At 45.4% G+C, this 14206-nt stretch overlaps 1 protein-coding gene across 8 annotated transcripts in view, besides 1 other annotated feature; it reads right to left on the bottom strand.

The window, feature by feature from the left end:
- The window catches only part of CAMK1D (calcium/calmodulin dependent protein kinase ID), a 485999-nt gene that overhangs the window by 184250 nt on the left and 287543 nt on the right, over nt 1-14206 (bottom strand). Inside the window, exon 1 of one of the 8 annotated variants that reach the window (XM_011519595.4) lies at nt 1151-1214. The exons of the other annotated variants lie outside the window; for them this stretch is intronic. The gene's annotated coding sequence lies outside the window, so the exon portion shown is untranslated. Of the gene's footprint in view, nt 1-1150; nt 1215-14206 lie in introns of those variants that run through there. 8 annotated transcript variants of the gene reach the window in all.
- Nucleotides 12066-12566: an enhancer, noted in NCBI's record as "H3K4me1 hESC enhancer chr10:12680729-12681229 (GRCh37/hg19 assembly coordinates)". NCBI's record gives its function as "activates a minimal SCP1, AML or CMV promoter by ChIP-STARR-seq in primed H9 embryonic stem cells {active_cell/tissue: H9 hESC(primed)}" and the evidence as "EXISTENCE:reporter gene assay evidence [ECO:0000049][PMID:30033119]".

Below are 14206 nucleotides of genomic sequence, written 5' to 3'. Positions count from 1 at the left end.
TCTGGCCACCTTCCTTAAGCCCAGTTTAAAGTCCCACAGTTGCTGGACCCACAGTGTTTGAGTTGCTATTTCATCAGAGGTGGGGCTTGGGGCGCAAAGCCGTTACTGTTTAGTTCACTAGGCAGGCAGAGAACCTGGCAGAATGATTTGTCTCAGGGGGAGGACGCTGAAAACAGTGGAGGGGTAAAGAAACACGGGGAGGAAGGAGGAGGTGGGAGCAAAGTGCCGTAAATCGTAAAAAGCCGGCAAAAGCCTGTTTCCAGATTCATTCCCAGTCTCATGAAGCCCCGTCGGGATGTGTGAAGCTTAATCCAGGGAGCCTTAGGGGAAGCGAACTCGAATCTGGGGGAGGAAGACTGGCAGGTGTGGAACCCTGCAGTAAGGGTGTGGGGCGAGATGAACCCCCTGATGGGTTTTTTTCCCCATGCATCCTTTTTCCTCTCTCTTTTTATCCTTGTAGAGTGAGGGATGATGCTGCTGGTGGACTAAGTGTCTGCAGAGCTGATGTTTTTGATAATAAATAAACACATGAAAGCTCTGCTTAATACAACAGCCGTTAGGACATCACAAGAGAACGCGGCACAAGGATGCTCCAGCTGCGCTGCAGATTGGGGCGGGTGGAGTGGGCAGGGGAGGGACAGGGAGGCACAGTCTGTTATGGTCCCCACTGCCCTTTTGCCATGTCCACTGCACATGAGGGACCCTGGAACGGCATTGCGGCACGTTGTGTGCAGACACCTCACATAAAACCCACAAACCTAGGCTTCATAAAACACAGAGAAGGGACCCAGGAGTGCCAGGCATGAGGCTAGGCAGCAGGGCCCTGAAGATAGATAAAACACAGTCCCTGAAACCAGGTGGCTCCCAGGCCAGTGTGAGAAGACAGAAGTGTACGTAAACATCATGACACAGCACGACCAATGTCCTGCCAGAGAGCCAGACACAGGGCTATGCGGGCACAGCCCTGCCCTGGCATCTGACCCTGCCCCTGGCACGCTGGTCGGGCTGCTCCCCAGGATCAATCTGCGCTCCAGTCTGGGCTGGTGAGCCCTGCACAGGAAGGCAAAGGAAAAGAGCATGTCAGAGAGAGGGAACCACATCAGCAAGGGCAGAGAAGCATGAGGGCACTACAGCCAAACAGAACACTCACGTGGTCGGCAGCCCCTCCAAGGGTAGAGGAGGGACTGCTGTGAGGGGCTTTGTCACCAAGGTCACCTGTGCGGGTTTTATCCTAAAGGAACTAAAAAGTAATATGCCAAGTGTAAAACTTCAGCTCCAGAAAAACTAAAGGCGGTGTTTTCTCTTGCAGAGATGCTGAAGTTGAACACGGTGAAATCGTTCCTGGGAAACCCTGCTTGGAGTCCTGACCCTCTCGCTCCCACTCATGGGGTGACTTGAAACTTGGAACTTCACTTTACTCCACTTTTAATTTCCCAAGTGAAAAGTTGATATACATTTTTGTTTCATCATGAACAAGTGGAGAAAGTCCATTTGACCAGAGTGTAAATGTCGAGATTTCCTTGGAGAATGAGTTGGAGTTAGGAGCTCTTCAGAGGTGATGATGGCAAAACGTATCCTGCAACATGTCAACTTCATTATTCTTTTCACCAACATTTTTTTTTGTTTCTAAAGAAAAGGGGGACTGCCAGAGGAAAGAAAAACAAAAAACAAAAACATGATCTGTCATTATCTGGGGTTTCTTTCTTTGGCGTATTCCTATATCTCCAGAATTAGAATACCATTGACTGAATACCTGTGTCTTCAGAAAATACCCTGTACATGTCTGAAAGATTTTCTCCTCTTTAACAACAAACACCTTGAATGCAGAAGGCACCAGCTACTTGGTGGAATTTCCGTGGACGCAGAGGGGACCAGCCTTAACCCATATCGAGTTCCCATGGGCTCCCCCCAGCACACAGCTCCTGGCCATTTGCCAGCCGACCTCCCCTTTCTTTCAGACACACATCCATCTATCTGCTGGCTCTTTTCTTCCTATCTTAACATTCACTCACACTTGGAACCTGACAACACAGCGCAGAGTCAAGGTAATGAACTTTCTGTGTAAACTGCCTCTCTGTGTTAGTGTGTACGCCAACTTGGCAAAGCACAGATTGTAAAAGATATTGAGTTGCTGGGTGTGGGAGCACGTGCCTGTCATCCCAGCTACTCGAGAGACAAAGTGAGAGGCCTGCTTGAAGCCAGGAGGTCAAGACCAGCCTGGGCAACATAGTAAAACCCGGTCTGTAAAAACATTTTTAAAAATTAGCTGAGCATGGTGGTGGGTGTCTGTAGTTCCAGCTACTCAGAAGGCTGAGGCGGTGGATGACTTGAGCCCAGGAGGTCAAGGTTATGACTGCACCACTGCTCTCCAGTCTAGGCAACAGAGCAAGACCTTGTCTCCAAAAAATTAAAAAATAAATTCAAACAGATGCCTATTATACAAAATCTCTTCAGATGAACACTAGCCCCTGATTTCTACACGTACTAAAAAAGGATCTTTGAAGTGAAGATTAAATAAAAAGAGAGACCGGGTGTGGTGGCTCACACCTGTAATCCCAGCACTTCGGGAGGCTGAGGTGGGTGGATCACCTGAGGTCAGGAGTTCAAGACCAGCCTGGCCAAGATAGCGAAACCCCACCTCTACTAAAAATACAAAAATTAGCCAGGCATGGTGGCGCATGCCTGTAATCCCAGCTACTTGGGAGGCTGAGGCAGAAGAATCGCTTGAATCTGGGGGGCGGAGGTTGCAGTGAGTCAAGATCACACCACTTCACTCCAGCCTAGATGAAAGAGCGAAACTCCATCTCAAAAAAGTAAGTAAGTAAATAAATAAATAAATAGCAAGCGAAAGACACTGAAGTCCATCTAGCGGAGTAGCCATTACTGATCATCAATATCCCTGCGGAGCACTGAAAACATAACCATTACCAGCTCTTACCCAGTCCTACTGAAACGCCATCGCTAGGCAGGGGGAACCTGGGAATCAGGAACATTTTTAAAAGTCTCTAGTAACTCTAATGATTAGGTAAATCTGGAAACCAATATTCTAGCCAGCCCTCCATTTACAGACGGGAGAATTAAGTGAGTGCCCCACGAACTCTTAGCTGGTTACAATGGCTGTATGTCCTGGAATATAATGTCTTTAAGGTCTATAAAAAATAGCTTTTTTATAAAGTTATAAATCAAAACAGCAAATGATTCAATAAAGAATGTTCTACCCTCTACCAGGTTTGAATTTTGAATTCTTGGACTCTTCGCAAGATGGCATCATGGCAAGAGTGGCCTCCTCGATGCTTTGCATCCTATCTCTGACTGTCCAGAACTTTGGCCTGCAGATCCAAGCTCCATCTGCACACCTGCACACAGACCTGCCTTGGCCTAAGGACATCCCATCAACAGTGCTGCCGGCTCTCAGGAGGAGGGTCCCAGGAAGCAGTCCATATGGGCCCCAGAAGTGCATTCAAAGTTGCTTCAGAAGAATTTCTGAGGTCAAGAACTCCTGAGTAAGCACACACCCACAAGCATTGGGTGGAAAGATGTCCTTGGCCCTATGTCCTTCACCCTGCAGACATCTCACTCCATGGGAAGGGCATGGCTGGCTCATGGCCAGGACAGAATCTCCTAAAGCAGGGGTTCCTCTTACCCAGGTCTAAGAATGGAACATTCTTCTGGAATACAGAACAATTCCCGCCCAACTGAAAGTCAGCCTCTCTCCCTCTCAATATATATTCATAGATGGAAATATGTATATATATATTTACAACAACTGCTTTTCTACAAAGCATTGGTATACAGAAAAATTTTAAGGAAACTGTAATATGTTTCTGAAGTAAAAAACTAGGCGGAGGGCTGGGTGAGGTGGCTCATGCCTGTAATCCTAGCACTTTGGGAGGCCGAGGCACGTGGGTCACTTGAGGTCAAGAGTTCGAGACCAGCCTGGCCAACATGGTGAAACCTAGTCTCTACTAAAAATACAAAAATTAGCCAGGTGTGGTAGCAGGTGCCTGTAATCCTAGCTACTCGGGAGGCTGAGTCAGGAGGATCGCTTCAACTGGGAACAGAGGTTGCAGTGAGCCAAGATCGCGTCACTGCACTCCAGCCTGGGCAACAAGAGTGAGACTCCATTTCAAAAAAAAAAAAAAAAAAAAAAGGCTAGCCTGGGCAAGGAGGCTCACGTCTATAATCCCAGCACTTTGGGAGGCTGAGGTGGGCGGATCACAAAGTCAGGAGTTCGAGACCAGCCTGGCCAACACGGTGAAACCCCATCTCTACTAAAACTACAAAAATTAGCCAGGCGAGGTGGCACATGCCCTATAATCCCAGCTACTCAGGATGCTAAGGTAGGAGAATCACTTGAGCCTGGAAGGAGCAAATTGCAGTGAGCCGAAATCGCACCACTGCACTCCAGCCTGGGTGACAGAGTGAGACTCTGCAAACAAAATTAAAAATTAAAAATTAAAAATAAAAATAAATAAAAGACTGCAACACAACAACTGAACGATAAAGAGTTTTTAGGTAATCGAGTAATGTCCTATAATTGAGTTGGATTCTGCTATTTCTTTTCTTGTTCAGTCCTGTGTTTTTGGTAATTACTATCATTTACTCAGAGCTTAGTATGTGCAGGATACCAGGCTAATCACGTTTCATTTCAATATCTTATGTGGACTACTGGAAACCCTAGGGGAGGGGTCTATTATCCCTATTTTACAAGGAGAAACTGAGATGCAAGGAAGTTCGGTCATTTTCTCAAGGTCTCACTGTTAGCTCTGTGGCACATCTTGGAACAAAACCTATGACTGTCTCATTCTTAAGCTCACTTCTTTCTGGCCCCATCAACTGTCTCTGAAATGAAATGTGGATATATTTCTCCACGTTTCTTTAAGATGAGTAATTTTCTTCCAGAGAAAAAAACGTTTACTATTTCTGTAATATTATAATAATACAAGCTATATAACAAGATTTGTAAAAATTTGTTTGTAATTGTGCTCAGAGACGGTTCTCTTTGGAGCCATAGAAGTGAGACAGAAGCTATGAAACATTAAGATGAAAGAATATTCAAATGCTGGCTAACATTTTAGGAAATTACTATCCTAACATAACTTTCTAGGGAAAAATCTTTTAAAATCAATTACAAGAATATTTTGCTTCAGAAATCACCTCCTATACCAAGGACTCAAGTTTTTATCCAGCTTCTGCATAAAAAGGATTGACAGAATTTTTTTAAGTAAGTAATTCTTCCCATAGCAATTTATTTTCTGTTCAGTGGAAGATTCTAAACAGAAATACTATTTACAATGTTTCAGTTACTTAAAAAAAAAAAAAAAACAACTAGCCATTTATGAGAAATCACAGAAATTCTTCCAGTAGTATGAAAATAGTTTAAAGTCAGACAGCCTCACGGTGAAAGAAGAGAAATTAACTTTTACATTTTCTTGGGAACATTGATCTCACAGGCAGCATTTTTAGATGCATTGCTGCTAAGCTATTTTTTAAATACTCAGATGGCGTGGCAGACATGATGGCGGCGCCCATCAGCCGTCCAACTCTCTTTCCTTTGTTACGTTCTTGATTTTCATTTGGTGAGCCACATCACCCCCACACAGCTTGTGTTTTGGGGAACGCTAGCTCCATCTCTGCATAGGACTAGAGCACTTGGTGCCAGCCTTAAACAAGAAAGCAATGGCTCTGGACGTCACCGGCAGCCATCTTGTGACCCCAAGAAGGAAGTGATTATGTCACGGAAGCTGTGGAGAGCAGGCAAACGGCAGGGCTGAGACCCAGCTCTTCATCTCGTTGTTTTACTGAATCAATTCTAACATAAGCCCACCCTATCTCTGGGAGACCAGATACGTCAACCAGTGAATCCCACATGTCACTTAAGCCGATTTGACGTTTGTACTTTGTTGCTTATGATCAAGGACATCCTAATTAATACAGACAGCAAGTGAAGACGTTCACAGACTTCTTACACTCTTCCATAAGTATAAACAAAAATAGAAGTGTATGTCTTATGTGGGCTTAGAAAAAAATTTTAAATAATAGCCCAATAATGAATGTCATTATTAGTCCTGACCAAAAATAGTAGGGGATAAATGATTGCTCCTGTCAAGCACAAAGTGTGGGAACATGTTCACTGAGCCTCATATACTTCATGGAAACATTCAACCACTTAAAAATGTGAAAAGAACAAAGAAGGCAGAGGAGGATATGAATTTTGGAGTGATTCTAAGACAACTGAAGTAAATGGGAAAGATGAGATATGCTAAGAAAGCAACTGCTTTGCAAAAAAAAAAAAGTCACAAATTCAAACCACTGTGAAGGTTACCTAACCTTCAAGTAAACCCACTTAGATTTCTGTATATTAGTCATCTATTCCTAACATGAAATTTCTAGGTAAGCCATTGAACACACATTTCTACTTTCTTTGGAGATAAAGAAGAGATCCTTTTAACATAGCTTTATAGGAATATTAACATGATATTAATATTAACCTGTAATGGCTTATGAAAAAATAATGTTGAAAGTCATTTTCTCTGTGGAGTTAAGATAGGAATCACAGCTTGCACTGCCAGTAAGGAAAATGTTTAATTCAGTAGAAAAGGCTAGAAGCCCCTTTAGAAGCAGAGGGAAGCCTCCGTATTGGAGGTTACTGAAGCTCTAGAGGAAGCTCCAAAGCCCAGATGACTAAGAGCTGGGGATCCTGTGGCTCACCAGGAACCCCACTAAGCATGAACTAAGCATCGCCAGGTGCAGTGACCAGGGAGAGAAAACTAAGAAGAGCCAACCTCTGAGAAGAGGCACTGAGGTCTCTAGTGTATGGGTCAAGTGCTTTGGACAAGGAAAGATTAATTTTGATGGCACATTAAGACGCTGTGAGTTCTTTGATGGGTCGCAAAAAATGAAGGGAATTGACTTTTGGTGTCAAAGGCTTAGTCACTTAACATAATCCTTGGGTTTGGGTTGTATTTATTTTTTTGACTCACATTAATGGAAAAAGGAACATTTGTTTTCGTTGGGAAACTTAGAGAGCTAACTCTGCCCTGCTTGTTTTACTCAGACAGCTACAGTGAGAGGGACCATAGGGCGGGAAGTTTACGGGGAACTCCAACAGCCCAGTGGTTCTCAACCTTTTCTGGGATCAGAAACTGGTTTCACAGAGGATAATTTTTCCATGGACCAGGACAGGGCTCAGGGGAAGATGGTTTCGGGATGATTTCAGCACATTACATTTATCGTGCACTTTATTTCTATGATTGTTACATTGTAATGTATAATGAAATAATTCTACAACTCACCATCATATAGAATCAGGAGGAGCTCTGAGCTTGTTTTCCTGAAACTAGACAATCTCCTCTGGGGGTGATGGGAGACAGTAACAGATCATCACGCATTAGATTTTTTTTTTTTTTTTTGAGTCAGAGTCTCACTCTGTCGCCCGGGCTGGAGTGTAGTAGCATGATCTCAGCTCACTGCAACCTCCGCCCCCCAGGTTCAAGCAATTCTCGTGCCTCAGCCACCTGAGTAGCTGGGATTACAGGCTTGCCCCACCATGCCTAGCTAATTTTTATATTTTTAGTAGAGACAGGGTTTTGCTGTATTGGCCAGGCTGGCCTTGAACTCCTGACCTCAAGTGATCCACCCACCTCGGCCTTCCAGATTGCTGGGATTACATACGTGAGCCACCGCACCTAGCCCCACACATTAGAGTCTCATCAGGAGCACACAACCTAGATCCCTCGCATGCGCAGTTCATCATAGGGCTCGTGCTCCTGCGAGAATCTAAGGCCGCCACTGATAGGACAGGAGGCGGAGCTCAGGCGGGTGATGGATGGGGAGCAGCTGTAAATACAAACGCAGCTTCGCCCACTCACCTGCCGCTCGTCTCCTGCTGTGCAGCCCTGCTCCTAACAGCCCACAGATAGGGTATCTGGGGTTGGGGACCCCTGCTATGGCCCAATAAGGCAAGTTCACACAGACTGCATGAAAACAAAATGTGGCCGGGCACGATGGCTCACGCCTGTAATCCCAGCATTTTGGGAGGCTGAGGCGGGTGAATCATGAGGTCAGGAGTTCGAGACCAGCCTGTCCAACATGGTGAAACCCCATCTCTACTAAAAATACAAAAAATTAGCCAGGTGTGGTGGGGGGCGCCTGTAATTCCAGCTACTCAGGCTGCTAAGGCAGGAGAATCACTTGAACCCGGGAGGCGGAGGTTGCAGTGAGCTGAGATCACGCCACTGCACTCCAGCCCAGGAAACAGAGTAAGACTCCGTGTCAAACAAACAAACAACAACAACAAACCAAAATGTAATTTAGTCAGGAGAATAAAGAAGTTACCCCTAATTTTCATAATCATTTAAGAAAAAAATAAAAGGTCTGTAACTTACCCTCCCAGGACTACTTTTAACTCATCATTTTTACATATATTTTATCTCAAGTATACTGGGAAAAACTCTTAGGTTTTCTTTACAGAATATTTCCCAACACTCGCTGGAAATGACTCTAGAACATTCTTCTACACTGTCAAGACCCAATCAGAATTACAAACCCTAAAATAAACTAAAAAGAGGGTGAGTGGTAAAATTAAAATAAAAGCATAAAAATGTGAAAAAAAAGAAATCAGTATTAGATAAAATGAATTTATGGTATCTCTCATTATTGGTAGGAATTTTTGGATCCACCTTCTGGCTGTATGCAAACTTCATAAGCAGGTCTTCCATGGGTGGATCCAAGCTATTTTCTTTCAATGTTGGAAAGAGTATGCTCTGACCCAGTCCTGGGAAAAATCCCAAGAAATTTCCTTTTGGGTTTATCCGCTACCCCCCAACCCTGACACAATCCACTGCTCAGCAGCCTTGGTGTGTGGTTGCTCAGCTATCATCCATCGTGTAACTGCAGCACTATTTAGTCCCTATTTTTCTCTCTCATCTACAAGGACAGTCAACGATTCATTCAAGAATCATCCACTGAACACTTACATGCCAGGCCCTGAAAGTGCTGGAACAAATGGCATTTGACCCTGACTTCCAGGAAATCCCTCTGAACCCATCCACAGGCCAGCACACAATTAGTATAGAAATGTGATGAATGCAGCATGATGCGTCATCACGCAGCCCGATTTCACCTGTGCCGCCTTTTGCTGGAAATTCAATATAACTGCATGCCCATTATTTTTCTGGATTTAGCAATCTAATTAGCAGGTAAAAAAGCAAAAGCCTGCGGCCTTTTCTTTCTTTTTTTTTTTTTTATTCTGAGAAAGGGTCTCACTCTGTCGCCCTAGCTGGAATGCAGTAGCGTGATCTTGGCTCACTGCAACCTTGCCTCCTGGGTTCAAGCAATTGTCCTGCTTCAGCCTCCAGAGTAGCTGGGACTACAGGCGCCCTCCACCACGCCCTGCTAATTTTTGTATTTTTAGTAGAGATGGGGTCTCACCATGTTGGCCAGGTTGGTCTCAAACCCCTGGCCTCAACTGATCTGCCCGCCTTGGCCTCCCAAAGTTTTGGGATTACATGCGTGAGCCACTGCACCTGCCCACTGCGTCCTTTTCTTAAGGTTTTGAACACTCATCTCTTCAGTGACACACTTTTAGTATCTGTCAAGGACCAACTTATTTCTTACCATCAAAACTTTGTCATCAGTTTAAATGTTTCTCTTTTTTTCTTTGCTTTTTTTTTTTGAGATGGGGATCTCACTCTGCCACCCAGGCTGGAATGCAGTGGTGAGACCATGGCTCACTGCAGCCTCGACCTCCCCAGGCTCAGATGATCCTCCCACCTCAGCTTTCCAACCAGGACTACAGGTGCACACCACCACACCCAGCTAATTTTTGTATTTTTAGTAGAGATGGGGTCCCATTATGTTGCCCAGAGTGGTCTCGAATTCCTGGGCTTGAGCCATCCTCTTGCCTCAGTCTCCTAAAGTGCTGGGATTACAGGCATGAGCCACCGTGCCCAGCCACATTTCTATTATTTTAAACATTCACTAATTTTTTAAAAAGTCAAAATAGTTTATCAGAACTGTATTTTAAGGCTGGGGGCGGTAGCTGACGCTTGTAATCCCAGCACTGTGGGAGACCAAGGCAGGTGGATCACCTGACATCAGGCGTTCGAGACAATCCTGGCCATCATGGTGAAACCCCTTCTCTACTAAAGACACAAAAATTAGCAGGGCATGTGGCACATTCCTGTAATCCTAGCTACTCGGGAGGCTGAGGCAGGAGAATTGCTTGAACCCAGGAGGTTCAAGGGAGGTTGAGGTTGCAGTGAGCCAAGATCACACCACTGCACTCCAGCCTGGGCAACAAGGTGGGATTCTGTCTCAAAACAAAAAAACAAAAAAACTGTATTTTAAGCCAAAAGACATCTGTAATTACCGATAAATTATTCTTCATAATTGATTTGAAAGAAAGAATGTACTTAGAATATGCAGTTGAGAGCAGAGATTCCCAATGTTTTTCCTGTTTCCACACACTGAAAAAAACCAATCATGTTTGCAGAATTCACTGGGGTAAAGGCTGAGGCAGGCCTCCCACAGCAAATTCGGTCACAACATGTCACACAGCACGGCACGGATGACAGCTTCGGTCAGGAATATTCTCTGAGACTGTGTAAAGTGTAAAGTGTTCTTTTTACCAGTTACAGGGAGATGCAAATAGTCTACTTATAGCTCACATAAGAAAAAAAAAGTATCTGTTTACCCGTTTCCTTCAAGGTTTCCACAGAGAAAATAAAGTACCATTTGCTTCTGAAATTTCATAGCTGTTATTTGTTCAATAGGCTTGCAAATAAGATCCCCAAATGAGGCTCATTTCCATCCATACAACATACACACAGTACTTAATGTGTTGAAAGCACCGTGCTAGCTTATCAAGGGCCTACCTGTGACGAAGATATTACAATTCCTATTCTTGCAGTGAGACGACCTAGGCACAGACATGGTTCATTAACTTGCTGAATACCACAGAGCCAGGATTTTGAGATTCTAAACTCCTTCTCCTTCTCCCCACTCCTTCTGACAGAACCTGCAACTTGGGCAAAGCTCTGCTGAACCAGAAGGGGTGGGGGCAAGCTGCCAGCAAACAAAATCAGAAATTTGGAGAAACAGACTCCCAAGCTGGAGTCTCTCAAGCAAAGCAAATGAAGAGTTTTCTAAGAGGAGAAATTGCTGGGGCTAGGAGCGCTGATTCTTCGAGAGGAAGGAGCTATTCTGCAGAATAAAAATAAGGACATCTGTCAGTTTCTGTCTTCCAAAAGGGGAGCTTCGTAGAACATGACATTACAAGTTTTTTCCTTCTCATTAAAGTCACAGAATGTGAGATGCTGGTGCTATCAGAAATCAGCAATTGTGCGAGCAGAGCTACAAGAGTTTCCATGTAGAATTCCAGGCGCATAGAAGCTTCCCCTTGAACTCCAGAGACACAAAAAGAATTCCCAAACAAACAAACAAAAAATATATATATATATCCACTTAGTCATTTGATTGTTAAATAACAATCTGTTTCCAGAAGCATTATCATGAGAAGCATCTAAGGGCTTACATTATCAAGCAATTAAAGCAACAGTATGCAAATCAATATCACTAAACAAATAAAAGACACCGAAAAACAAAATGTTAATTATAAAGTAGATAAACATTAGGCTCTCCTTGAAAACAAGGTTACACGTGATTGTGTGCTAGAGAAAATGCAGACGAAAATGCTCCTGAGGCTTCCTTGGGTTTGGGGGGAAAAATTAAATTTAAAAAAAAAATTTAAGCAAGGATGAGCTTAAAGCCCTTTCTGGTTCTGATTAGGTTTGTTTGTTTGCTTGTTTTGAGACAGAGTCTTGCTCTGTCGCCCAAGCTGGAGTGCGATGGCGTGATCTTGGCTCCCTGCAACCTCCGCCTCGCGGGTTCAAGTGATTCTCCTGCCTCAGCCTCCCGAGTAGCTGGGATTACAGGCGCCCACCACCATGCCCGGCTAAGTTTTATATTTTTAGTAGACACAGGGTTTCACCATGTTGATCAGGCTGGTCTTGAACGCCTGACCTCGGTGATCCACCCGCTTTGGCCTCCCAAAGAGCTGGGATTACAGGCGTGAGCCACTGCACCCGGCCTGATTAGGTCTTTTTAAAAGCTTCTCTATATTGCTAAAGCAGGAAAATAGAAAGGGGACTTTCTCTTTCTGAGGCGGGAGGTCCTGTACATCACTGCCCACTGAATGAATTCACATACACATTCAAATGGATACTGATCACTTTCCACGGCCCAGGAATGAGCTATGTATTGAAGCCAAAGCAGGAACCAGAGGAATGAGGTTCCCGCCCTCACGAAGACGACATTCCAAGAGGAGAAAGGAAGACAGCAAGCCAGGCAGAGCCACCGCTGACTGTGACAAGGATGCGGAGAGAAGTGGGGGGATGAGAGGGACACCAACGGGGACTACGGAGGTGAACGCCTTTCCACCCTCCCAGAGGAAGATGGGGAACCTCACCCCCTCGCTCACTCCCACTGTTCTTCCACATTTATAGATTTGGTGATACAAAATGAGGGGCAGACAGGTGGGGCTGCACAGCCTACGTGGGATGCAATCGGCCAGCCCTGCAGCAGACACGATTGCACTCTGGGGCTATGGCTATGACTAAAACCCTCAGGATGTCTAAGGAGACTCCAGCCAGCAGGCTACTCTGAGGCGGCATCCAACTGAGGGTGCAGTGCTGCAGGAGCTCACAAAGGGGGAGGCTGGCCAGGGTCGGGGGCCAAGGGAAGGCTTCCGGATGGAGAGGAAGAACAAGCAGGATTTATCCAAGGAAAGAGAGTGAGGGGTGACGGGAACGGAGTTCTCCATGCAGAGGGAAAAGCCTCTGTAAAAGGCCCGAGGTGGTAGAGAGCTTAGTGCAATGGGAACAGCAGGTGGTTTAGTGAGGTATGATTATAAAAGGATGGGGAGAGGAGGCGGAGGCTGGGTAGATGTGGAGGGATACAGTAAAGAACAGCTAGCGTGAATAGCAAGCAGGCTTAGAGTATGGACTTTATCCAGACCACGCCCAGCTGCTAAAGAGACCTGGGAGGGCCAGGCAGTGGAAGCTGTGGTTCTGCACACGAGGCAAACAGAAACATCTGCTAGAAGCCTGGCCCCTCCCACCCCCTAGCCCTTTTCATTGTACTTCCAGTCAAAGAGTGAGTTGTTACTGGGGTGGAGAGAGGGCTTCTAGCAAACCCAGAAGATGGCCTCCCCTTCTCTGAGGCCCCTCCTAATACAAGGATATCGGAATCCCCCCGTCCTCCACCATTCAGCTGCCTGTGGTCACTAGAGGCACAGGTCAGGGTGGGGATAGGATGAGGCTACCGGGCCGGGCTGTGGATAGGATGAGGCTACAAGGCTGGACATCGGTGGCCTGCCTCTGCTTGCTGAGATGAGAAGCCAGCTTGTGCCTCTGCAGCGCTTTCTTTCTCATTTGCATGCCAAACTAGAGAAAGAACACGTCTCCTTCCCTTCTCCACCATATGGTTGGTGTTCCCATCTGAGTGAGCCGCCTCAATATAGCACCACAGCCTCACAAAGGCTAAAGGAGTCACGGATGCTCTCCTGCCAATTCCTCACCATGTTCTTCAACAGACTGTATCTTCTAAGAATAAAAGAGATTACTAATATTTGCACAATTGTATGCTTACTTCCCACCCCCGCCCTCCCAAAATCAGGACATCTTTACATTAGCAAATCCAGTAGCACTACCACCAGGAATTCTGCCTGGGACCTTGGGAAATATTTGGCATTTCTGCAACCTGCCTCTATACACCCTGCTGGCCACAGATGAGATAAAGAAGTGAATGGATGTCATACGTCCATGCGTTTGCATTAAAGAAAGACGCAGAGGCTGTCTTCAACAGGCAGGAAGGTAATCGCAACACTGAAGGGACCTACTTCCTTCTGTGAGAGTTGAGAACAAACGCATGACTTTCGAGAGAGGGAGAATGTTCTAGAAGTATCTACAGTAGTCGTATTTTAGAAATATAGGTTTCCAAATTATCTTCAGAAATAAAGTATGGACGTGGCGCAGTGGCTCACACCTGTAATCCCGGCACTTTGGGAGGCTGAGGCGGGTGGATCACATGAGGCAAGGAGTTCAAGATCAGCCTGGCCAACATGGTGAAACCCCGTCTCTACTAAAAATACAACAATTAGCCGGGCATGGTGGTGCACATCTATAATCCCAACTACTTGGGAGGC

This window comes from Homo sapiens, chromosome 10 (assembly GCF_000001405.40).
Source record: "Homo sapiens chromosome 10, GRCh38.p14 Primary Assembly".
Taxonomy (NCBI): Eukaryota; Metazoa; Chordata; class Mammalia; order Primates; family Hominidae; genus Homo; species Homo sapiens.
The sequence above is the reverse complement of the archived record's forward strand: the minus strand, read 5'-3'. Positions and strand labels throughout refer to the sequence as shown.